Source organism: Homo sapiens, chromosome 12, assembly GCF_000001405.40.
Source record: "Homo sapiens chromosome 12, GRCh38.p14 Primary Assembly".
Classification (NCBI taxonomy): Eukaryota; Metazoa; Chordata; class Mammalia; order Primates; family Hominidae; genus Homo; species Homo sapiens.
The window spans coordinates 79,854,500-79,880,906 of NC_000012.12; the positions used below are offsets into that span (position 1 = coordinate 79,854,500).

Consider the following 26,407-nt stretch of genomic DNA (forward strand, 5'->3'; position numbering starts at 1 on the left):
TGGTATCATTTTCCCAATGACAAAGGCTAGAAAGAGAGGCAGAATAGTGTAGTATCTAAAATGCACATTTGAAAAGTTAAGACTGTGTAGGTTCAAACCCTAACTCTGACACATATTTTGTGTGATTTCTCTCTATGACTCAGTCTCTTCATCTATAATTTTTATTTTTTTTTGACTTTTTTAAATTTTAGAGATGGAGTCTCATTCTGTGGCTCAGGCTGAAGTGAACAGGTGCAATCATAGTTTACTGCAGCCTCAAACTCCTGGGCTCAAACGATCCTCCCACCTCAGCCTCCCAAGTAACTAGGCCTACTGGCATGCACCACCAGGCCCAGCTGATTTTTTTGTTGTTGTTGGTAGAGATGGGGTAGCTATGTTGCTGAAGCTGGTCTATAACTCTTGGCCTCAAGCAATCCTCCCACCTAGGCCTCTCAAGGTGTTGGGATTATAGGTGTTGGCCATTGTGCCCAACCAAGTAACAATTATTATTATTATTATTATTATTTTGAGATGGACCCTTGCTCTGTCGCCCAGGCTGGAGTGCAATGGCGCTATCTCCGCTCACTGTAAGCTCCGCCTCCCGGGTTCATGCCATTCTCCTGCTTCAGCCTCCCGAGTAGCTGGGACTACAGGCGCCTGCCACCACGCCCGGCTAATTTTTTGTATTTTTAGTAAAGACGGGGTTTCACCGTGTTAGCCAGGATGGCCTTGATCTCCTGACCTCGTGATCCGCCCGCCTCAGCCTCCCAAAGTGCTGGGATTACATGTGTGAGCCACCGCGCCTGGCCCCCAAATTATAATTATTAATACAGGTCTATTATCTCTCGCCTACACCCAAATTTCAAAATTGCTCATATTTTTTTCACCCTAAGAGGTCTGAGAAAAACAAACAAAGAAAATTTCATGTCTTTGTTACTGTGAATAGTGCTGCGATGAACATATATGTGCATGTATCTTTATGGTACAAATTTATTTTCCTGTGGGTATATAACCAATAATGGGATTGCTGGGTCAAATGGTAACTGTTTTAAGGTTTTGAGAAATCACCAAATTGCTTTCCACAATGGCTGATCTAATTTACATTTCCACCAGCAGAAGAAAAGTAAAAGTTTTTCATATTTTAGAAAGATAATATTATGGATTATGTAACACTCCCACCAGGTCTGGGATAGCACTCTATAACCAAACACAAAATTATTTCTGCAAAAAAAAAACAAACCACACATTTACAGTTAAGTGAGATAAAGACTACAAATAGCCTCCCATCAGTGCAGGTCATTATCTGTTGCCAAATGTGCCTACAACAAACTTAAAATTTATGTTTTCATTTTTTGCAGTTTTGGAGGTTTATGCATAAGGACCTGTGGGAAGTAGTACATTTTTATATGACTGAAATTATGTTATCTAAAGGACTTAGAACAGTAAAAAAAAAAACACAGTAAGCACTTGGTAAACGTTAGCTATTTATCATCATTAGCACCACCTTTGATTTTTCTTCCTACCTTAGTACTTAGATCCAGTAAATCACACCAAGACTTATCAATTCTATTCTCCAAATTTCTTTCAGATCTGCTCTACTTCCAATCTCACTGCCACTGCCCTAGTTTTCTTGCCCAACCTCTCTAATTTGTCAAGAATCTTCCAAAAAAACAGTCTGAAAGGTCATCACTTCCCTAAAACTGCATCACCATCAAAGGACAAACTCAGCCTGGCATACAAATCCTTTACGTTGTAACCCCAGCTGACTTGCCCAGTCTTATCTGCTACCCTCTCCATATTCCACTAATGCCTTCTCTCCAAGAAATTATGGCTCCAATAAGGCCCTTCTGTTTAATGCAATCAGAACCAGTATTTGCTTGGTTAACCAAATAGGCTGACTGAAATAGGTAATCATAAAATATAACACATATGCATAAATAATGCATTTATTTAATCATACAAGACATAAATGCATATTTATTTATCCATCCTTTAGTGAAGACTAGTCTATTTCTTTGGATGATGTCTTCATGACTATAAATCCATGCTGTCTTTCTTGCATAAATGATATCCGTAATGTGTTATCTAAGACTTCGAACTGTCTTTAGAGTGAACCAAAAACTTGAAGTCAACAGCAAAGCAATTTGAGTACACAATCCTTCTAGTTCTTTTTTTCTTTCAGTCTTTGAGTTGTCTCACCCCCATCTAATTAAAAAACAACCATCCTTTTAGGGCACTGCCATTGAGTCTTTCCAAAGTATTCAACTTTGTTATCTTAGCAACAATATTCTGGTTTTGCATATGACAGGCATTAACAGGTAGAAAACACATACAAATAACTTTTGGTAGGTCTGCAATTCAAGTGTTGGAAACAGAACCGTGAGCTTAGCAGAAGTGGCCTATTAGCAGCAATGTTTAGGCATATGGATATCAGTCAATAAGTTTTAACAAAGAAATGGTAAGTATAAATACAGTGGTAGCCAGTTAAAAGAACTTTATCATATATTATTTCTCATTTGTGAATGACATGACTTTCCTCAGGCAGCTCCCAACTCGCAGAGGCAAAAATTATGCTCATCCTTTTCCAGCCATCCCATTACTGGGTATATACCCAAAGGACTATAAATCATGCTGCTATAAAGACACATGCACACGTATGTTTATTGCGGCATTATTCACAATAGCAAAGGCTTGGAACCAACCCAAATGTCCAACAATGATAGACTGGATTAAGAAAATGTGGCACATATACACCATGGAATACTATGCAGCCATAAAAAATGATGAGTTCATGTCCTTTGTAGGGACATGGATGAAATTGGAAATCATCATTCTCAGTAAACTATCGCAAGGACAAAAAACCAAACACCACATGTTCTCACTCATAGATGGGAATTGAACAATGAGAACATATGGACACAGGAAGGGGAACATCACACTCTGGGGACTGTTGTGGGGTGGGGGGAAGGGGGAGGGATAGCATTAGGAGATATACCTAATGCTAAATGACAAGTTAATGAAGAGTTAATGCATGTATACATATGTAACTAACCTGCACATTGTGCACATGTACCCTAGAACTTAAAGTATAATAATAATAAAAAATAATAATAAAAAAATAATAAAATAAAATAAACGAATGTTACCTCCTCCAGAATCTTTCTTTAATTGGCCTAGACAGAATTAAGCACTTCTTCCTCAGAGTTCCTTATATACTGGTCCATTTAGTCTACCAAGTATTAGAGTTAATTGACTTCACATGTATCTATCTATAAGCCTGAAGATGAGAATCTATGTTGCAGTCATTTTCAAATCTCATAGTGCCCAATGCTACTATCAGTTATGATATAATGGAAAAAAATCATCAGAATTTACGTCTCAAGAATGAGAGTTCAGTTCTGATTGTGAAATAGGAATAACAGTGAACATTCCCATAAATTTCCATGAAAAACCAAGTAAGAATGTATATGGGAACGTCTACAGCTTTCAGCAAATGTATCTCATTATTAGTATACAAGGATATAAATACCCCAAATAAAATTTTAATATTTTCCTAAGATCTTAATTTCTCTAAGACTTCTAATCAAAATACATGATATGCTTTGTACTAATAAAGTATTCTTGACAAGAAATATATAATAAAATTGAAATTCATGGATCTGCCAACTTTCCTATGGCCCACATAACAACATATGAATGAAAATATGACAAATTACTACTTCATTCTCCTCTGCTCCTCTCTTCTAGATAAGTTTGCCCTAAAACCAAGAGACAAAATGATAGTTTCCTTTGTTAAATAATCTGGGAAACCCAAGAGCTTACCTATTTTTCACTGAAAAGTGGTAACCAAAAATTATATTATAAACAATAACAACTAATTCAGTTAATATTTACTGAATAGAAATACTTGCCACATATTGTGCCAAGTGTCTTATACACATGATCTCATTTAATCTTCACAATCTTATAAATTAGGTACAAGTATTAATATTTCCATTTTATGGATAAAGAAATGGAGGCTTAGGGAAGCTGGTAATTCATTCAAAGTTGACGAGAATTACTTAACAGAATTAAGATTTAAACAGAGTTGCCTAACTCCTGAGCCTGAGCTCTTAACTCCTATACTATAATATTTCTTGCTGGGGGGAGGTGAGGTTCAAGAATTTCTGAAATTCCTGAAATTTCTGTTTTCAAAGCACCAAAAATAACAGCATTATTGAATTCCAGACAGAAGAACCAGCAAATAGATGGAAAGGCCATGAGGCAAGATGCCTAGTCTGTTCAAAGGCTCAACCAAGGGACCAGTGTAGGTTTAGCACAAAGCCTAGAAAAGAGTGGAGGATGGAGTCAGAGAGGTGACAAGGCACCAAAGCATACCTCTGTAGGCCACCAGAACTCTGGCTTCTACCCTGAATGCAGCATAAATCCACTGATAGGCTTTCAATAAAACTGTCATGTTACCCAACACAAAATAATTTAAAATGATCATTATGGCTACAACGCAAAATAATTTAAAACGATCACTGCGGCTACTGTGAAAAAAAATAGGTGTGGGAAAGATGACAGTTATGCCTACAAGGAGGCAACTGCAATAATTCCAGTGAAAAACAACAGTGGGAGGCCAAGGCGGGCAGATCACAAGGTCAGGAGATTGAGACCATCCTGGCTAACATGGTGAAATCCCACCTCTACTAAAAATACAAAAAAAATCAGCTGGGCATGGTGGCACGTGCCTGTAGTCCCAGCTACTCGGGAGGCAGAAGCAGGAGAATGGCATGAACCTGGCAGGTGGAGCCTGCAGTGAGCCGAGATCGTGCCACTGCACTCCAGCCTGGGCAACAGGGTGAGACTCTGTCTTTAAAAAAAAAAAAGAAAGAAAAAAAAAAAAAAACAACAGTGCTCAGGATCAAAGAGAGATGGAAAAAGGTAATGAGAAATAGATACTGGATATATTTTAAAGCTGAGCCAACAGAAATCTTAGGATTCTGTTGGATGTTTATAAAATAAAGGCTATAATGCAGAAGAAAAGCCAAGCCATAAGTAAGTCGCCACACATATTTCAAAGTTATATCCTTAAATAGCTAATTCTTTAATGATCAAGTGACAAAGCTAATGAATTTTTTTCTATGCTGAAAATGTCACTGGGCCAGGCCTCATGGTTGATTCCTATAATCCCAACACTTAAGGAGGCCGAAGCAGAAGAATCACTTGAGGTCAGGAGTTTGAGACCACCCCGGAAAACACAGCGAGACTCTGTCTCTACAAAAATAAAAAATAAAAATAAAAAAATTAGCTAGAAGCAGTGGTGCAAGTCTACAGTCCTAGCTACCGCTGCTGAGGCAGGAGGATTGCTTAAGCCCAGGAAGTCCAGGCTGCGGTGTGTTATGATCATCCCACTGCACTCCAGCCTGGGCGACAGAGCAAGACGCTGTCTCAAACAAACCAACAAAATTCTATGAGCATTTTATAATAGGATATGAAATCTCCAACAGCAATGTCTATAAAATCACTCTAAACAAGAAGAAAAATGCGTTAAGTGCACCAATTAATAGTCTACTCCATGAACTGTGAAGCCATATAATGCTAGGCTAATACAGGGCTAATTTCCCTCTTAGATTGGAAAACTGAACACTAAAGCTATTCAAGATAAAAGCATGCCTTAAGTATTTGTAGTGGAAGCCTAAAAAACAAATGTGGTGGCAAAATTAAATAACAGAAAAGATTATATCCAAATAATTACACCAGAAACCAAAATGTTAATCATTCCATTTTCTTATTCATATACAAAATATTTTATAAACATAAAAATTCCTATAACTTGCAATAATACAAAAATAAGGGACAACTCTAAGACTAAAATTATAGTCATTCAATTAACCAACATTCATTGGTCAATTAAGAGGGACACACTGAATAAATGATAAACTATAATGAATACTACACAGTGGAGTACTACAACTGAAAAGAACAATGACGAGTATCTCTACACTCCACTAGATAGTGATCTCCAGAATAGACTGTTAAGTGAAAAAAGCAAAGTGGAGAAATACGTGTGTGATATTCTATCATTTATTACAAAAGATGGGGGGATTAATACTTCAATAAAAATAATACTTTTATTAGCAAACTAGAAGATAGTTTTTTAAACTTTTTTTATAGGGTATGGGATGAAATATGGTGGTAGAGGAGGTATTGCCACTGGAACTAGTATTTTACGTAAATTATAAAACAAAATTAAAATTTTAAAAAGTAAACTCAAGTGAATTCAACACATAGTAACCTGATGGTATATTCCAAGTTGAATATACTAAGGACAAAAAGAAATGCCAACAAAACAAAACCCTCAAAAACAAAACTTTGAATGATTTCAGTAATCATACTGGTGGTGGTGGTGGTGGCGGCATTATTATACTCAGTGTAACGTATGTGTAATACATGATGAAGCAAATTAGTAATTACGTGTTACTTTAATCCTGTGCTTCCCAGCAATGTATGAGAGGAAAGACAGTGACACAGGTTAGAAGAAGTTAAAGAAAAAAACACTTTGGTGCTGATTTCGACCTGGAAACAATGACCAACCCAATAGTAATGAGCACTCTCAGTAGCCATCCTAAGGAACAGGGTTTCTTGGAGAAATGAGGACTCCAGGCCTTGGGCAGGAATATAAAAGATTAGTCTGGAAAATCTTGCAATACCAAAGAGTAAGGAAACTTTTAAAGACTACTTTATTTGGTCATGTCCCAAGGTCTTAGGAAGCCAACTTCAAGAGCCTCTCAATGACCAAAGATGGTTCAATTTGCCAACTGATAAGGATAATAGCTGCAGTGGACTGAAACACATCAATATGTTCAAACGGGAGTTACTTCCAAGATGTCCAAATAGGAACAGTTCTGGTCTGCAGCTCCCAGCAAGATCGATGCAGAAGACGGGTGATTTCTGCATTTCCAACTGAGGTACCTGCTTCATCTCATTGGGACTGGTTGGACAGTGGGTGCAGCCCGCAGAGGGCGAGCTGAAGCAGGGCGGGGTGTTGCCTCACCTGGGAAGCGCAAGGGGTCATGGGATTTCCCTTTCCTAGCCAAGGGAAGCCGTGAGTGACCGTACCTGGAGGAGCAGTATACTCCTGCCCAAATACTGCACTTCTCCCATGGTCTTTGCAACCAGCAGACCAAAAGATCCCCTCCCGTGCTTGGCTCGGCGGGTCTCACGCCCTTGCTCACTGCTAGCACAGCAGTCTGAGATCAACCTGCAATGTGGGAGCTTGGCGGGGGGAAAGGGCATCTGCCATTGCTGGGCTTGAGTAGGTGGTTCTAGGCTCACAGTGTAAACAAAGTGGCAGGGAAGCTAGAACTGGGCAGAGCTCAGCAAGGCCTACTGACTCTCTTGAATCCACTCTGGGGGCAGGGCATATTGGAACAAAAGACAGCAGACAGCTTCTCCAGACTTAAACGTCTGTGCCTAACAGCTCTGAAGAGAGCAGTGGCTCTCCCAGCACAGCATTCAATCTCTGTAAACGGACAGACTGCCTACTCAACAGGGTCCCCGACCCCTGTGCAGCCTGGCTGGGAGACACCTCCCAGCAGAAGAAAACAGACACCTCATACAGGGGGGTGCCCTTCTAGGACAAAGCTTCTAGAGGAAGGATCAGGCAGCAATATTTGCTGTTCTGCAGCCTCCATTGGTGATGCCCAGGCAAACAGGGTCTGGAGTGGACCTCCAGCAAACTCCAACAGACCTGCATCTGAGGGGCCTGTTAGAAGGAAAACTAACAAACAAAAAGGAATAGTATCAATATCAACAAAAAGGACATCCACACCAAAACCCCATCTGTAGGTCACCAACGTTAAAGACCAAAGGTAGATAAAACCACAAAGATGGGGAAAAACCAGAGCAGAAAGGCTGAAAATTCTAAAAACCAGAGCACCTCTACTCCTCCAAAGGAACACAACTCCTCACCAGCAAGGGAACAAAACTGGGCAGAGAATGAGTTCGACAAAGTGACAGAAGTCAGCTTCAGAAGGTCGGTAATAACAAACTTCTCCGAGCTAAAAGAGCATGTTCTAACCCATAGCAAGAAAGCTAAAAACCTTGAAAAAAGGTTAGACAAATGACTAGCTAGAATAACCAGTGTAGAGAAGAGCTAAATGACCTGATGGAGCTGAAAACCACAGTACGAGAACTTCATGAAGCATACACAAGCTTCAATAGCCAATTCGATCAGGCAGAAGAAATGATATCAGTGATGGAAGATCAAATTAATGAAATAAAGGAAAAAGAGAAGTTTAGAGAAAAAACAGTAAAAAGAAATGAATAAAGCCTCCAAGAAATATGGGACTATGTGAAAAAACGAAATCAATGTTTGATTGGTATACCTGAAAGTGACGGGGAGAATGGAACCAAGTTGGAAAACACTCTGCAGGATATTATCCAGGAGAACTTCCCCAACCTAGCAAGGCAGGCCAACATTCAAATTCAGGAAATACAGAGAACACCACAAAGATACTCCTCGAGAAGAGCAACCCCAAGACACACAATTGTCAGGTTCACCAAAGTTGAAATGAAGGAAAAAATGTTAAGGGCAGCCAGAGAGAAAGGCTGGGTTACCCACAAAGGGTAACCATCAGACTAACAGCAGATCTCTTGGCAGAAACCCTAGAAGCCAGAAGAGAGTGGGGGCCGATATTCAACATTCTTAAAGAAAAGAATTTTCAACCCAGAATTTCATATCCAGCCAAACTAAGCTTCATAAGTGAAGGAGAAATAAAATCCTTTACAGACAAGCAAATGCTGAGAGATTTTGTCACCACCATGTCTGCCTTACAAGAGCTCCTGAAGGAAGCACTAAACATGGAAAGGTACAACTGGTACCAGCCACTGCAAAAACATGCCAAATTGTAAATACCATCGACACTATGAAGAAACTGCATCAATTAATGGGCAAAATAACCAGCTGGCATCATAATGACAGGATCGAATTCACACCTAACAATATTAACCTTAAATGTAAATGGGCTAAATGCCCCACTTAAAGGACACAGACTGGCAAATTGGATAAAGACTCAAGACCAATCAGTGTGCTGTATTCAGGAGACCCATCTCATGTGCAAAGACACATATAGGCTCAAAATAGAGGGATGGAGGAAGATCTACCAAGCAAATTGAAAGCAAAAAAAAAAAAAAAAAAAAAAAAAAAGAGCAGGGGTTGCAATCCTGGTCTCTGATAAAACAGACTTTAAACCAACAAAGATCAAAAGAGACAAAGAAGGCCATTACATAATGGTAAAGGGATCAATTCAACAAGAAGAGCTAACTATCTTAAATATGTATGCACCCAATACAGGAGCACCCAGATACATAAAGCAAGTTCTTAGAGACCTACGAAGAGACTTAGACTTCCACACAATAATAGTGGGAGACTTTAATACCCCACTGTCAATATTAAATGGATCAACGAGACAGAAAATTAACAAGGATATCCAGGACTTGAACTCAGCTCTGGACCAAGAAGACCGAATAGACATCTACAGAACTCTCCACCCCAAATCATCAGAATATACATTCTTCTCAGCACCACATGGCCCTTATTCTAAAACTGACCACATAATTGGAAGTAAAACACTTCTCAGCAAATGTAAAAGAACAGAAATCACAACAAACTGTCTCTCAGACCACAGTGCAATCAAATTAGAACTCAGGATTAAGAAACTCACTCAAAACCACACAACTACATGGAAACTGAACAACCTGCTCCTGAGTAACTACTGGGTAAATAACGAAATGAAGGCAGAGATAAAGATGTTCTTTGAAACCAATGAAAACAAAGACACAACGTACCAGAATCTCTAGGACACATTTAAAGCAGTGTATACAGGGAAATTTATAGCACTAAATGCCCACAAGAGAAAGCAGGAGTGATCTAAAACTGACACCCTAATATCACAATTAAAAGAACTAGAGAAACAAGAGCAAACAAATTCAAAAGCTAGCAGAAGACAAGCAATAACTAAGATCAGAGCAGAACTGAAGAAGACAGAGACAGAAAAAAAACCCTTCAAAAAAATCAATGGCTTTTTGAAAAGATCAACAAAATAGATAGACAGCTAGCAAGACTAATAAAGAGAGAAGAATCCAATAGACACAATAAAAAATGATGAAGTGGTCATCACCACCAATCCCATAGAAATACAAACTACCATCAGAGAATACTATAAACACTTCTATGCAAATAAACTAGAAAATCTAGAAGAAATGGATAAATTCCTCGACACATACACCCTTCCAAGATTAAACTAGGAAGAAGTTAAATCTCTGAACAGGACAATAACAGGTTCTGAAATTGAGGCAATAATAGCCTACCAACCAAAAAAAGTCCAGGACCAGATGGATTCACAGCCGAATTCTACCAGAGGTACAAAGAAGAGCTGGTACCATTCCTTCTGAAACTATTCTGATCAACAGAAAAAGAGGCAATCCTCCCTAACTCATTTTATGAGGCCAGAATCATCTTGATACCAAAGCCTGGCAGAGACACAACAAAAAAAGAGAATTTTAGGCCAATATTCCTGATGAACATCGATGTGAAAATCCTCAATAAAATCCTGGCAAACCGAATTCAGCAGCACGTCAAAAAGCTTATCCACCACGATCAAGTCGGCTTCAGCCCTGGGATGCAAGGCTGGTTCAACATACGCAAATTAATAAACGTAATCCATCACATAAACAGAACCAACAACAAAAACCACATGATTATCTCAACAGATGCAGAAAAGGCCTTCGATAAAATTCAACAGCCTTTCATGCTAAAAACTCTCAATAAACTAGGTATCGATGGAACGTATCTCAAAATAATAAAAGCTATTTATGACAAACCCACAGCCAATATCGTATTGAATGGGCAAAAACTGGAAGCATTCCATTTGAAAACCGCCACAAGACAAGGATCCCCTCTCTCGTCACTCCTTTTCAACATAGTATTGGAAGTTCTGGCCAGGGCAATCAGGCAAGAGAAAGCAATAAAACGTATTCAAATAGGAAGAGAGGAAGTCAAATTGTCTCTGTTTACAGATGATAAGATTGTATATTTACAAAACCCCATCGTCTCAGCCCCAAATCTCCTTAAACTGATAAGCAACTTCAGCAAATTCTCAGGATACAAAATCAATGTACAAAAATCACAAGCATCCCTATACACCAAAACAGACAAACAGAGAGCCAGATCATGAGTGAACTCCCATTCACAATTGCTACTAAGAGAATAAAACACCTAGGAATACAACTTATAAGCGATGTGAAGGACCTCTTCAAGGAGAACTACAAACCACTGCTCAAGGAAATAAGAGAGGACACAAACAAATGGAAAAACATTCCATGCTCATGGACAGAAAGAATCAATATCGTGAAAATGGCCTTACTACCCAAAGTAACTTATAGATTCAATGCTACCCCCATCAAGCTACCACTGAGTTTCTTCACAGAATTGGAAAAAACTACTTTAAACTTCATATGGAACCAAAAAAGAGCCGGCATAGCCAAGACAATCCTGGGCAAGAAGAACAAAGCTGGAAGCATCACACTACCTGACTTCCAAACTTTACTAGAAGGCTACAGTAACCAAAACAGCATGGTACTGGTACCAAAACAGATATACAGACCAATGGAACAGAACAGAGGCCTCAGAAATAACACCACACATCTATCAACATCTGATCTTTGACAAACCTGACACACACAAGCAATGGGGAAAAAGATTCCCTATTTAATAAATGGTGTTGGGAAAACTGGCTAGCCATATGCAGAAAACTGAAACTAGACCACTTCTTTACAACTTATACAAAAATCAACTCAAGATGGATCAAAGACTTAAACGTAAGACCTAAAAACCATTAAAATTCTAGAAGAAAACCTGGGCAATACCATTCAGGACATAGGCATGGGCAAAGACTTCATGACTAAAACACCAAAAGCAATGGCAACAAAAGCCAAAATTGACAAATGGGATCTAATTCAACTAAAGATATTCTGCACAGCAAAAGAAACTATCATCAGAGTAAACAGACAACCTACAGAATCGGAGAAAATTTTTGCAATCTATCCATCTGACAAAGGGCTAATACCCAGAATCTACAAAGAACTTAAATTTACAAGAAAAAAGCAAACAACCCCATCAAAAAATGGGCAAAGGATATGAACAGCCACTTCTCAAAAGAAGACATTTATGCAGCCAACAGACATATGAAAAAATGCTCATCATCACTGGTCATTAGAGAAATGCAAATCAAAACCACAATGAGATACCATCTCACGCCAGTTAGAATGGCGATCATTAAAAAGTTAGGAAACAACAGATGCTGGAGAGGTTGTGGAAAAACAGGAATGCTTTTACACTGTTGGTGGGAGTGTAAATTAGTTCAACCATTATGGAAGACAGTGTGGCGATTCCGCAAGGATCTAGAACCAGAAATATCATTTAACCCAGCAATCTCATTACTGGGTAGATACCCAAAGGATTATAAATCATCCTGCAATAAAGACACAGGTACACATATGTTTATTGCAGCACTATTCACAATAGAAAAACACTTGCAACCAACCAAAATGCCCATCAATGACAGACTGGGTTAAGCAAACGTGGCACATATACACCATGGAATATTGTGCAGCCATAAAAAAGGATGAGTTCATGTCCTTTCAGGGACATGGATGAAGCTGGAAACTACCATTCTCAGCAAACTATCACAAGATCAGAAAACCAAACACCGCATGTTCTCACTCATAAGTGGGAATTGAACAATAAGAACACATGGACACAGGGATGGGAACATCACACACCAGGGTCTGTGGGGGGTGGGGGGTCAGGGGAAGGATAACATTAGGAGAAATACCCAATGTAGGTGATGGGTTGATGGGTGTGGCACACCATCATGGCATCTGTATTCCTATGTAACAAAACTGTACGTTCTGCACATGTAACCCAGAACTTAAAAGTATAATACAAATAAAATAAAATAGAAAATATGTTCAAATGCATGAGCTCCTAATATTACTTAAACTAGAAAAAAAAAAATTAGTCCCTACTGAAGGTAGATAGCAAGGAAATTCATTATTTAAAAAGCCAGTACATAAGGAGAAATAATAAAGAATATATTCTGTCTCCCCTATAAAAATTGTACTGAGGTAATATGGTTTGGCTGTGTCCTTACCCAAATCTCATCTTGAATTGTAGTTTCCATAATCGCCACGTGTTGTAGGAGGAACCCAGAGGGAGGTAATTGAATCCTGGGGGTGGTTACCCCTATGCTTCTGTTCTTGTGACAGTGAGTGAGTTCTCATGAGATCTGATGATTTTATAAAGGGCTTTCCCCCCTTTGCTTGGCACTTCTTCCTGCCGCCATGTGAAGAAGAATGTGTTTGCTTCCCCTTCCACCATGATTGTAAGTTTCCTGAGGCCTCCCCAGCCCTGTGGAACTGTGAGTCAATTAAATCTTGTTCCTTTATAAATTACCCAGTCTTGAGCAGTTTTTTACAACAGCGTGAGAATGGACTAATACAAAGGGTAACCAAATAGTAGAGATGAGAAAGTTTCTTTTACAAAAATATTCCAACTAATAAATAAAAAAGAATGACAATTAAAATGTTACCATTGTATAGTTCCTATGTTTTCATCTAATTATTTCTTCAGTCAGAGAACTTGGTTTTCAATGCTTTGCACACAGTAATTCAATTATAATTTATGCCACAGATGTATAATGAATTGATAATTCAAGATTGGAACAATAAATTGCATACATGGGTTCTTGGGCTCTAAAATCATTTGCCTTTTCTAGTATGTCCAAAGTCATACTGTTCCATTTCATTTTTGATCCATAGCCAATGACATTAACACTGTAATTTTTAAGGAAGAGTATGCCTTGATGTGATAGTGGAAAGTTTATACTGCTTATATTAGTTTGCTAGGACTACCATAATAAAATGCCACACACTGGGTGGCTTAAACAATAGAAATATTATTTTCTCACAGTTCTGGTGCCTAGAAGTCCAAGATCAATGTGTTAGCAGCTTTGGTTTCTTCATAGGCCTCTCTCCTTGGTTGGTAGATGGCTGCCTTCTTGTTTCTTCACATGGTTTCTTTCCTGTCTATGAGAGGGGCCCTGGTGTCTCTTTTTTGTCCCAATGTCTTCCTCTTATAAGAAAACCAGCCAGACTGGATGAGAAACAACTCCATCAGCCTCATTTTAACTTAATCATCCCTTTAGAGGCCGCTTCTCCAAATAGAGTCACATTCTGAAGTACTGAAGGTTAGGGTTTCAAGTAAGAATTTTGGGTGACACTATTCTGCCCATAATACTGATTCAGCACCCCAAAGGAAAAGAATGATGTTAATGCATACATTTTAGTACCTGACCTGATATATATAGTAAGTGCTTACATATTTATTGACTGCATAATTTTTAAAACATGTTAATCAAAGTAGTAACATTCTTAAGAATGAAAAAGTCAAGGCAGTGAGTATTTATTAAAACAATGCATATGCTGAGCATAAAATCAGGCTCCACAAACTCACTTCATTTATTTGTCCTCCATTCCATTCTGGAGAAAGGACATTACTAAACAACCTCTATTTTTAGTTTACCCTAGGACTTCTACCTTGTTAAGAATAAGCAAAAGTTGAGGGTAATTATTTTGGTGAAAAGGTGAGATAATTGAGCCAGTGTATGAAGAGCCATCATTCATCTACCTATTCACTTGGCTTCTATTACGCTACAGACCAAATGTAAAATTGTTAAATGCCTAGAAATGATACTGTAATCTGACATTCTTTGTTCTACTATTTCCAACAGAGGTTAAAAATTTAGAACTCAATGTATCCTAATCATCCTCAAATCCTCAGAGTAAACTAATCTAGGCTTAACTGCACATATCAATAGGGATGAATTACTACTATTCAGTGCATAAATGCAGTTAGTAAAGAAGCATATACACAAACAACTGATGTGTTAGAGATGATGATGAATTTGCCAAGAACATCAGAAACTCTTCCTGGAAGAAATGACCCTTATACAAACTGCATCTTGAGAGTCTGGTAGAAGCTGCTCAAGTAATGCAACAGCAGGCAAATAAACTATTACGAAGAAAGGCACACTGATGTAAACCAGTAGGGAATGTTGGGGAACTAAAAGTAGTCCAGTATTGACAGAGTGAAAAATGTGAAGTGGAATGCAATATGAGAAAAAAGACTTAGGAAGAAACTAGATCTTTCCAATTTTATAAATAATCTTAAATTACTGAGACTAAGTAGATTGGTCAAGCACACAAAGCTAGTGAATGGCAGAACTAGGATTTGCAACAAATTTAACTCCAAAATACTTCAGTTACCACAGTGACCATATGCCCCAGTTTCTTACCCCCTGGGTTATAACTATTGTCTCTATTATTATTATTATTATTATTATTATTATTATAAGTGCTTTCTTTCATGCCTATAAAACACTGATCTGTGGACTATCTTCACCCTATCAATTAGGCCACCAGACTATTATTTTTCTATACCCAAGAAAACTAGGGTTTCATTAATTTCACTTAATCATTAGTGAAATTAACTGCTGAAAGAGGTGTTTTTAATGTATTTTTTTCTTTTTTTGAAACAAGGTTTCACTCTTGTCACCTAGGCTTAAGTGCAATGGTGCTATCTCAGCTCACTGCAACCTCTGCCTCCCAGGCTCAAGCAATTCTCCTGCCTTAGCCTCCAGAAATTCTCCTGCCTTAGCCTCCAGAGTAGCTGGGACACATCATTGTAACTGGCTAATTTTTTTGTATGTTTTGCAGACATGGGGTTTTGTCATGTTGCCCAGGCTGGTCTCGAACTCCTGAGCTCAAGCAAGGCCTCCCAAACTGCTGGGATTACAGGCATGAGCCACCATGCCCAACCTGCTAAAAGAGATTATGCTGATAAAAATGAGCATTCGGAAGGATTTTGGGCTATCATCACCTTAACAAATCATCCAGTATATGCTAGAGTTAAACTGCCTTTTATAAAAACAGTCATTATTTTAAAAAAGAATCTTGTGGCAGAAAGAATAAAAAGGAAAACTTATTCTTCTAATTTTAATCTGGTTCAAGGAAACTCCATAGTTTATAGCACAGTCATAAATTCAAACTAATTAGATTAGCAACTATAGTCAACCTTGGCCAAAAAAGGTCACTTTTGTTTGCACAAGTCCTGTAAAGCATATATTCCATATCCCACCCTCCAAAAACTGAAAATAGTCACCCTACTGATAACATTAGCAACTGCAACAAACTGCTTACCCTTCCTCATACTTCTTATATACTAGCATGTAAAAGCTGAATATGCCAAGATATTTACTTTTCCTAGCTACAACATGGACAAATGACCAAGACCAGGCCAAAAGAAGTCCCATTATGGGATGTCTTCAGCAACTGGAGGGCTCTCTGGGAAAGGTTTTCCTCTTTGATGTACACAGAATACAGGGAGGATATTTTCTACTTGCAATCCATTTTTTTTTTATTTGCTTTTGGATGTGGATATGTAAAACACAATTCTAGAGTTGTGGCAATCATCTTGTAACCAAGAGGGGAGAAGGCTAAGAATAAAGTCCATTTTTGGGAAATTCAGAAGAAAAAACTGAAAGATTCCAGGTCCTTGCTGACATCACTGAGTGGCTTAATAAGCCTAAATGTCCTTCCTCTAAATGATATTTTATCCTGTATAACAAGTACCATTATTCTTTAGGTCATTTTAAATTGGGTATTCTATCACTTGCAGCTAAAAGCATTCCAACTGACACAATAGGTCTGTGACCCAATCAAGTCTATGCAAAGAAATTATTCAAGACAATTAATATTGTCTTTTCAAACTCAGAAACATGAATACAAAAAGGAAACATAAGAATTAAACATCTGAAGAAAGAGGTTGAGTTTTAATTTTCCCAGTGTAGATACAAAAGGTAATGGTCAAAAGTTAATATGTACTATTTCCTATGAGCCAGGTCCTACGTTTGATGAATTACTGCAGTTAATCATCACAACAAACCTAGGAAATACTACTTTATAGAAGAGAAAACCAAAGCCTAGAAAAGTTAAACAACTTGCCAAGGTTATACTCCTTGATAGTGACTGAGGAGGCATTCATATTCCATATCAATTAACTCCAGAGCCTAATCATTAAGTGTAGTTAAAGATAAATGCACAATTATCTGGGTTTTTTTTTCTATGAAGAGATCTAAGTCTTCTGTTGAGCAGGAAAAGTCCAAAAAGGAAGTAAAGAACTCGAGATTGAGCGGGAAAAGTACAAAAAGGAAGTAAAGAACTTGAGAATCACAATTGTTAGGTTTGAACAACCACTGCTGTTTTGCAACGGGAAAAAGACTTCCTCAGTTTATATACAAAGAAATCATGGCTCAGAAAGAGGAAACAAATTATGGAAAGATGTCGTATAGTTAGTGGCAGAGTCAGTAATAAAATTCGGGTAATTCAGACCTTATCGTTCCCAGGCCGGAGCACTTTTCATTTCACCATACAGTTTCTGCCTTGAAATTGAGATATTGTATCTCCAGCACAAATGGGGAAAAAAAGCAAAATGTAGACAAAAAACTATGAAGGCTTACTAAGATATTTACAGAGTAGAATTCCCATATTCAATATTTATTCATTGATAAGCTTTCATATATGAGCAGAGAGACAACAAAACTGTTTACTGTGTGGATAGATAGTAATAAGAAAAATAATTTAATGAAAAAATTATTTTTCAAGATATCTATACTTCCACTGTTAAATGCTTTAAAAAATCAGATGTTCTTAGTGTGTACCCACACATTAAAGGTAGTAGAGAATACAATGACTATTTCTCATTGAATTTTCTAAAAAATGTATTTTTTAAAAAAGACAATCTTCAGAAAAACTAAGTAAACAGGCTCACTGGAGAACTATGTATCATATTCTCCCTATAGCAATGTAACCCAGTTGCCAAATTTATGATTATAAAGGAATGAGTTAGACTGCTAAGTATTAACCCTCAATCATTTGAAAATGCTCTAGCTGTACTCAAAAGAAAAAAGATGGAGACAGAGAATGTGTACAATTACTAATGTTAATACGAAGTACCAAAGGCCAAAGAGGGTGGGGAGACAAAAAGAAGATCTGATTCTGAGAATATATGGATTCCCAATAACCACTTATTTTCTTTCTTGGAAAGAATAATTTTCATGAATTAAAGTAATATAAGAGTTCACTCATTTATCTTTATCACTTCAATAAACATTCAGGTCTGTCAAACAGTATTAGAATAAAATGAAAACACAGAACTGGCTTACTCTGCAATATCAAGATATCCACAGGAAGCTGCTGCATGTAGTGGTATCCAGCCTTCATTATCAGGTTGATTAATATTTGCTCCATTTTCTACCAGAAACTTCACCATATCAACATTGTCATCAATGCAAGCCTAAAAACAAAACAGAAAGCAAGATTGGAAAAAATACGAATTAACACTCCAAATAATACATCAATAGAATAAAATTCCTACTTTGTAGCTTTTATAATATAAATATTCTCTGTAAATAAATCTGCTGCTATCTTGACTATACTCCATCAAACATGCTAATGACACTAAATTGTTAAGGGTCCTTGCTTAGGTACACATACAACAGTAGTGTATGTGCCTAGACTCTTTATGGCAACCCAATCTGGATAACAAGTACCTATTAAAATGAAGACATTATAATTAAGTACTAACAATAGTCTCTATAGCAGTGGTTCCCAAAAATGTTGTCTGCTGGGGGAAGGGGGAGTAGATTCCTTTAGGGAGTTGATTAGGGCAAAACTGTTTTCAAGAAAAAACTAAGATGTCATTTCCCTTTTTTACTTTGTTGACATGTACACGTGATGGTATAAAAGTACCAGCTGTAAAACTGCATGTGTTTTAGCACAAATAATGGCAGTGGCCAAAAAAACCCCACCTCTATTAACAGTCACTGTTTCAACCACTTTGTACTCATAATTTAAAAAAAAAAAAAAAAAAACATTGCTAAGCACAGTGGCTCATGCTTGTAATCCCATCTACTTGAGAGGCTGAGGCAGGAGGATCGCTTGAGTTTGAGTTCAAGGCTGCAATGAACTATGATCACACCACTGCACTCCAACCTGGGCAACAGAGTGAGACCCTGTCTCCAAAAAAAGTGGTGGTTAGGGGGCAGCAATTTTCACTCATATATGTCTTTGACAAAGCGGTACATATTAAATCTTGGCCCTTGTATACAGGTCTTTTTTATATTCTCTGGAACAAGATGGGAAGTGTATGTTAAAGCACCTCTTCCAAGTATGATGGTTGTCTTGATGAAAAGCACTTGTGACATTGAGATGCAAGCTGACTTAGCCACTTTTCCATGCAACATTATGTCTACTTAAATGACAAACTACAGTTAGTCTAACTTTGATTTTTGGGAGATCTTTTCTTGCAAATGAACAAAATGAGTCTGTCACTTCAAGAAAAGCAATTAACGCCAGGCGCGGTGGCTCACGCCTGTAATCCCAGCACTTTGGGAGGCCGAGGCGGGCAGATCACCTGAGGTCAGGAGTTCGAGACCATCCTGGCCAACATGGTGAAACCCCTTCTCTATTAAAAGTACAAAAATTAGCCAGGCATGGTGGAGCACGCCTAGTCCCAGCTACTCGGGAGGCTGAGGCAGGAGAATTGCCTGAACCCAGGAGGCAGACGTTGCAGTGAGCCAAGATTGCACCATTGCCCTCCAGCATGGGCAACAGAGCAAGACTCCGTCTCCAAAAAAAAAAAAAAGAAAAGCAATTAACAGTATATTTGTTGCCAATGATAAACTTTCAAGAAAAAATGAATTAGTTATTTTAATTAAAAAATGTTATTTGGTAACATGGGTAAATCGCTATTATTTTTAAATAGTGTTTTAAATCCTCAGTTTTAAACTCTAAGACTGTAAATATTAATACATACAACCAAGAAAAAATGAATTAGTTATTTTAATTAAAAAATGTCATTTGGTAACAGGGGTAAATCATTGTTATTTTTAAATGAATTAATTGTATTTTAAATCCCTGGTTTTAAACTCTAAGACTATAAATATTAATACATATAACCTGCAGAAACAAAAGCTCATTGGAATCTTCAGTAATTCTTAAGAATATAAAGAAGTCCTAAAATAAAAAAAAAATTTGAGAACTACAGCCCTAAAGTAAATAAGAAGGGAACTTTTATCAAATGCTTGCTTTGTGCCAGGTAGTATGAAAGGTGCTTTATCTATGATTTACATACATTATTCTCACAAAAACCCACTCCAAGGTACTCATTGTTCCCCACAATTGTTCCTAAAATCACTCTGTTCCAGCCACAATAGGGACCTTACTATTCCTTGACCAGATACCTCAGAGCCTTTGTTCTTGCAGTTCTCACTGTCAGGAATGCTCTGCCCCCAGATCTAAGCATGCTGATTCCTTCTCATTAAACAAATCTCAATGCAGATGTTTCTTCTTCAGGAAGGCCCTCCTAGTCATCCTTTTCAAGTAATTCCTAGTACTCTATCACATTATCAATAATATCAATAGCCACAATTTTCTTATTTATACCTATGTTCTACCTCTACTAGATTGTAAACTCCATAATTTTCAGATTAGGGATATATCTGTATGTGAATATAAGTACTTTATACCTGTCCTATGAGATAGGTTGTATTCATAAACACACTCCATTTACCCTGGGGAGGCTTTCTGGAATTGGCACTATTCATAATCATCATCATATTGTCCCTCCTGAGATGCAATCCCCATGTATTACCAGGACCCCTGCCCAAGAATGTAAAGTCTGTGCCATGTATTTGACTTGGGGGATTGGGAAGGTGGGATGAAATCCACTCAAGGAGCCTTTAACTTGGTGAAAGGTTTTTTCCGTCCTAATTCACACAAAGCCACTATTTGCCCAGAGGGCAAGTGGCCTCTTTTTTTCTAATGTGGGTAAAACCCAGTAAATGAACTAATTAGCTCCTATTTCCTATCTATGATAAACAACTAATACACAACTAGGAGTATGTGGGCTGATGACTATTATCTCTGTACTCTAAAAGTGTTTCTAATAAACTGATCAGTAGACATATTAATTTACACACTGTCATCTTTGGTTTATTGCCAAAAGATCTTTGTTGGAAAATTCATGTGCTACCCATTTAAATGTATAAAAAGCCCAAGTTTATTAAGAATCCGGAAGGATATTTGAAGTAGCTGTTGAAAGTAATAAAAATTGATGTGCCATTTAAAAAGTGGTTCTAATACATTTTGCTACACATAGACCATTACCTTTATCTACCCATCCCCTTAAAAGAGGCTTAAACACCAAGACAGTACTTAACCACCAAAGGAAGTTCCTGTTTGTTCATATTTGGGAAAAAAAACTATTTTCTAGGACTGAAAACACATCAACAACAACAAAAAAGGATATTAATGTCAGACTGTAACTCTTGGAGAAAACAAAAGAGCTTCTTAAATGCCACTTCAACCTAAGAAAGAGCAGTTTGGGGCTGGCTGATGAGAGATAATGGATCAGCATTATACACAAGCAATGCATAAATAAGATATGACTGTATCCACATTTCATAAATGAAGTCTTTGCTCAACTCTCACCTTTTTGGTATTGCCTTTCTTGGACAGCATACTAAAATTACAACCCCCTCCCTACCATTTTATATCCTGAGTATCTACTTTATTTTTCTCCATACCGTTTATTACAACATACTATATATACTTTGCTTACTTATTTACCATCTGTTTACCCACTCCCAGAATGAGCGTTTACTGAGAGCAGGAATTCTGCTGCATCCTCAATACCATGCACAGTTCTTGACATGCAGAATTCGGCTGCTTCCACAATACCTTGAGTTCTTGGGCTCAATAAATGAATTAATGAATGTAGGAGGAAGCTAAGATTCAAAGAGATTAAGTAGCTTGAATAAGTCACACAGACAGGAAATGATAGGGCTGGGAATCTCACAGAGATGCTCAGGTTCCAGAAACTAAGCTTTTTCTACACTTAACACACTGCTTTCCACAGATGTTCCTAGTTTATCAACACATTTCTCACCTGCAACAGGATATCACGCATTCTAGGGGCTAAGTATTACTTGTATACATGAAATAAATTTTCCTTAACTACCATAGAAACAAAAGAAATGCTTTTAGCAGCATTTCCCTAAGGAAGAAAATGACAAAGTTTCTATCAAGAAAAGCACTATACAGTGTACCCAAAAAGTTTTAAAGCGGGAGGCTGAGGCAGGTGGATCATGAGATCAGCAGATCAAGACCATCCTGGGAAACATGGTGAAACCCTGTCTCTACTAAAAATACAAAAAACTAGCCACGCATGGTGGCACACACCTGTAGTCCCAGCTACTCGGGAGACTGAGACAGGAGAACCGCTTGACCCCGGGAGGCAGAGGTTGCAATGAGCCGAGATCATGCCACTGCACTCCAGCCTGGGCAACAGAGCAAGACTCCATCTCAGAAAAAAAAAGGGTAAAAGCATTGAGAGGGAATCACAGCTTTTGGTTTTAGGTTCTAGTTCTGGCTCTGCCACAAATTTTGTGGCTGTGAACAAGTAATTTAATCTTTTTGGACGTTGGTGTCTTTATATTTCAAGTGGAGGGAAGAAGTGTGAGGGGGTATTTATCATAAAAATTCCCTACCATATTTAAAATTATTATGTATCTTCCCTCTAGAACAAGTTATAAGCAAGCTGACGGCAGTTTTCCAAAGTGCCTAGAACATATCTTACATATAACAGATGATAAAAGAATACATAGGCAACGTTGATACAGATATTGCTCAAGAAAACTATTTTTCACAGGGCAGTGGTTAAAAGAAAGAGGTTTGAGAATCACAGCTATTTAATGACGAAGAAACATAAAAAGTGTATTGTATTAGAAAGTAGTTTATAGAATGCTGAGATAAGAGAGTGACTTACTGTGACTTGCATAATCATTCACTTTCCTTGAGAAATCATACTGATTAAATTCTTTCTCTTTTCAGACAGAGTCTTGCTCTGTCGCCCACACTGGAGTGCAGCAGCACAATCTCGGCTCAATGCAACCTCCGCCTCCCGGGTTCAACCGATCCTCTTGCATCAGCCTCCTAGGTAGCTGGAACTACAGGTGTGTGCCACCATGCCTGGCTAATTCTTGTATTTTTAGTAGAAATGGGGTTTCAACATGCTGGCCCGGCTGGTCTCAAACTCCTGACCTCAAGTGATCCACTCACCTTGGCTTCTCAAAGTGCTGGGATCACAGGTGTGAGCCACCACACCCGGCTGATACTCATTAAATTCTGTTCACCTTTTTTTCTCAACCTCTTTTAAATCCCATAGGCTCCAAAACTGTATCCTGAATTTTATCCTCAGTATAAGAATATAAAACCCTACTTGATAATTATATGTAATACAAATATGATTATTCTTTTAAACCGAAAAATATCAACAAGCAAATAAGAAATGATTCTTTATAAAAGAATATGGGGAAATGCCCACAATATATTAAGAAGGTTTTTTTTTTGTTTGTTTTGTTTTTTAAGCCTACAACACTACAAAACTACAAATCTTTGCTGGGGTGATTTTTAGATAGGGATATACATAAGTGAAATTTCACTTAATTGTATACTTAAGAGTTGTATACTTTACCAATGTAAATTATACCTCAAGTTAAAAAGTTAAAAAAAAAAAACAGGCTACCATTTGAGACTACTATGTATCACTTAAAATACCTATTCCTTTAACTTCTATGTCTTGCCTCCTGAAGTTCCACATACCAAATGCAACTGGTATTCCTAGTAGTCTCCCATTCAAGTACTAACCAGATCCAACCCTGCTTAGCTTCCTAGATTAGATGAGATCAGGTGTTTTCAAGGTGGTATAGCAAGTTTTTTTTAAAAAGGATGCAAATATGGAAATGGAAAAGGATAAAAGAATATAGGAGAAAACACACAATGTATTTTTTAATGCCTAATATGATTTAAAGTTTTATATTAGTCCGTTCTTATGCTGCTAATAAAGACATACCAGAGACTGAGTAATTTATAAAGGAAAGAGGTTTGACTCACAGTTCCACACAGCTGGGGTGGCCTCAGGAAACTTACCATCATGGTGGAAGGAGAAGCAAACACCTCCTCCTTCACATGGCGGTGGCAAGGAGAAGCGCCGAGCAAAACAGGAAAAGTCCCTTATAAAACCATCAGATCTTGTGAGAACTCACTCACTATCATGAGAACAGCAGCATGGGGGTAACTGCCCCCATGATTCATTCAATTACCTCCCACTGGGTCCCTCCCACAACACATGGGGATTATGGGAACTACAATTCAAGATGAGAGTTGGGTGGGAACACAGCCAAAACATCAACTTTACTAAAAAAATTCACACAAGACTAAAAGAATGCATCCTGAAGGTTAAAAATAATGGTTGTGAGACCCACTTTTATTTTCTTCCTTAATTTTTCCTTTATTTTCAAAATGTCTACAATGAATAGTGTTTCAAGTAAAAAATTCAAGAAGTTCTTTCTTACATAAAAAGCATTAAACGGTAATGTGGAAAAACAACCAAGGCTGGGTGTGGCAGCTCATGCCTATAATCCCAACACCTTGGGAGGCTGAGGTAGGCAGATCACTTGAGGTCAGGAGTTCAAGACCAGCCTGGCCAACACGGCAAAACCCCGTCTCTACTAAAAATACAAAAATTAGCCAGGCACGGTGGCACATGCTACTTGAGAGGCTGAAGCATGAGAATCGCTTGAACCTGGGAGGCGGAGGTTGCAGTGAGCCAAGATCACGCTACTGAGCTCCAAGCCTGAGCAACAGAGCAAGACTGTCTCAAAAAAAAAAGAAAACAACCAAATTGCTGGTGAAAGTATGAAATTCACACAACCACTTCAGAAAACTATCTAATAGCATCTACTAAAGTTATGTGGAATGCATAAATACACAGGGTGGGGTGAGGTGTAGAAAGGGAGATCCTATTCACATAACAGAATCCTATAAACTGATTAAAAAAGAAAAGAACATTGAACAAAAAGAACAAAATACTGCTATCTTCAACAACATGAATGAAATACATAAATGAGTAAAGAAGGCAGGTACAAAAGGATACATACTGCAGGTCTCCAGATAAAATAAGATCTGGTGATAAGACTCAGAACCAGGGTTAAATCTGTGGGAGAATGACAGGAGGGACACAAGGGGGCTTTCCGGACAGTTGGAAATGTCCCTATCTTTGTCGGGGTGATTTTTACATAGAGATATACATATGTGAAATTTCACTGAATTGTATACTTAAGAGTTGTATACTTTACCAATGTAAATTATACCTCAAGTTAAAAAGTTAAAAAAAAAAAAGCAGGCTACCATTTGAGACTACTATGTATCACTTAAAATATGTATTCCTTTAACTTCCATGCCTTGCCTCCTCAAGCTCCACATACCAAATGCAATCCTTCTTTTAACTGATAACCTCTAAATACTCTGAAAACATTTTTTTCCCCAAGAATTCTAGCATATTCTCTGTTTACGGCTAAATATCACTAATTCCTTTAGCTATTTTTCATATTATATATACTAAAAAGTATATATGCCAAGATCGTATGAAAAAGATCACATTAAAATATAGTTGGATAGTCCATAAATAACAATGATCACATAAGGGCCATAATAGCAGTGGGTAGAAAGTACTAAAATATCACGGAGGACATAAAGAGATCTTTTTGTGACTAAGAGGGTCCATACGGGTCCCTACATATTTGAGCATAATTTTGAAGATTATATAAGAGTTCAAGTACCAAATCAACTGGCAAGAACCTCACTGAGCACAGACACTGCTGATTTTAAAAGTTCATGGAATAAACAAACAGTCAGTCAACCAGTGGTAGACAGTATCTGTAAGTTATAAAACAGGATAAGGCTAAGTGGTAAAAGATCTGAATATAATGCAAAGACTGTAGTTGTACTACAGATGATTTTCAACCTCTTTTTACCTCAACAGACGAACAGAATCTGCTATGTTCCCATCAGTAACGGTGGCTCAAGTAAGTAGTAGGAGAAAGTAGAAAAAAACACTTTAGAATTTCAAGATGATGCTTGAAAAAGCTTATTTAGAGTTTTTAGGAAGAAGGGTGACGTGATCAGATCAGTATTTCAGAAAGGTCACAGAAGCAATAAGAAGAGGAAAGGGCCTGAGCTAAACAACCACCGATATCGGCATACCTAGTTTTACTGTGCCTCATGGATACTGCATTTTTTTGTTTGTTTGTTTAAAATTTGAAGGTTTGTGGCAACCCCGTGTCAGGCAAGTGTATTGGTGCCACTTTTCTAAACATGTGCTTACCTCATGTCTGTGTCACATTTTGGTAATTTGCACAAT

The 26,407-nt window shown here is 37.8% G+C and overlaps 1 protein-coding gene and 1 pseudogene across 5 annotated transcripts in view, besides 2 other annotated features; both read right to left on the reverse strand.

Moving 5' to 3' along the window:
* Window positions 1-26,407, reverse strand: part of PPP1R12A (protein phosphatase 1 regulatory subunit 12A) — a 161,898-nt gene that overhangs the window by 80,937 nt on the left and 54,554 nt on the right. For all 5 annotated transcript variants that reach the window (NM_001244992.1, NM_001244990.2, NM_001143885.2 and 2 more), the window contains one exon: window positions 18,309-18,439. In NM_001244992.1, the coding sequence (NP_001231921.1) occupies window positions 18,309-18,439 (131 nt within the window). The remainder of the gene's footprint in view (window positions 1-18,308; window positions 18,440-26,407) is intronic.
* Window positions 20,042-20,579: an enhancer, noted in NCBI's record as "OCT4-NANOG hESC enhancer chr12:80268321-80268858 (GRCh37/hg19 assembly coordinates)". NCBI's record gives its function as "activates a minimal SCP1, AML or CMV promoter by ChIP-STARR-seq in naive and primed H9 embryonic stem cells {active_cell/tissue: H9 hESC(naive and primed)}" and the evidence as "EXISTENCE:reporter gene assay evidence [ECO:0000049][PMID:30033119]".
* Window positions 20,580-21,116: an enhancer, noted in NCBI's record as "OCT4-NANOG hESC enhancer chr12:80268859-80269395 (GRCh37/hg19 assembly coordinates)". NCBI's record gives its function as "activates a minimal SCP1, AML or CMV promoter by ChIP-STARR-seq in primed H9 embryonic stem cells {active_cell/tissue: H9 hESC(primed)}" and the evidence as "EXISTENCE:reporter gene assay evidence [ECO:0000049][PMID:30033119]".
* Window positions 23,806-23,920, reverse strand: RNA5SP363 (RNA, 5S ribosomal pseudogene 363; annotated as a pseudogene).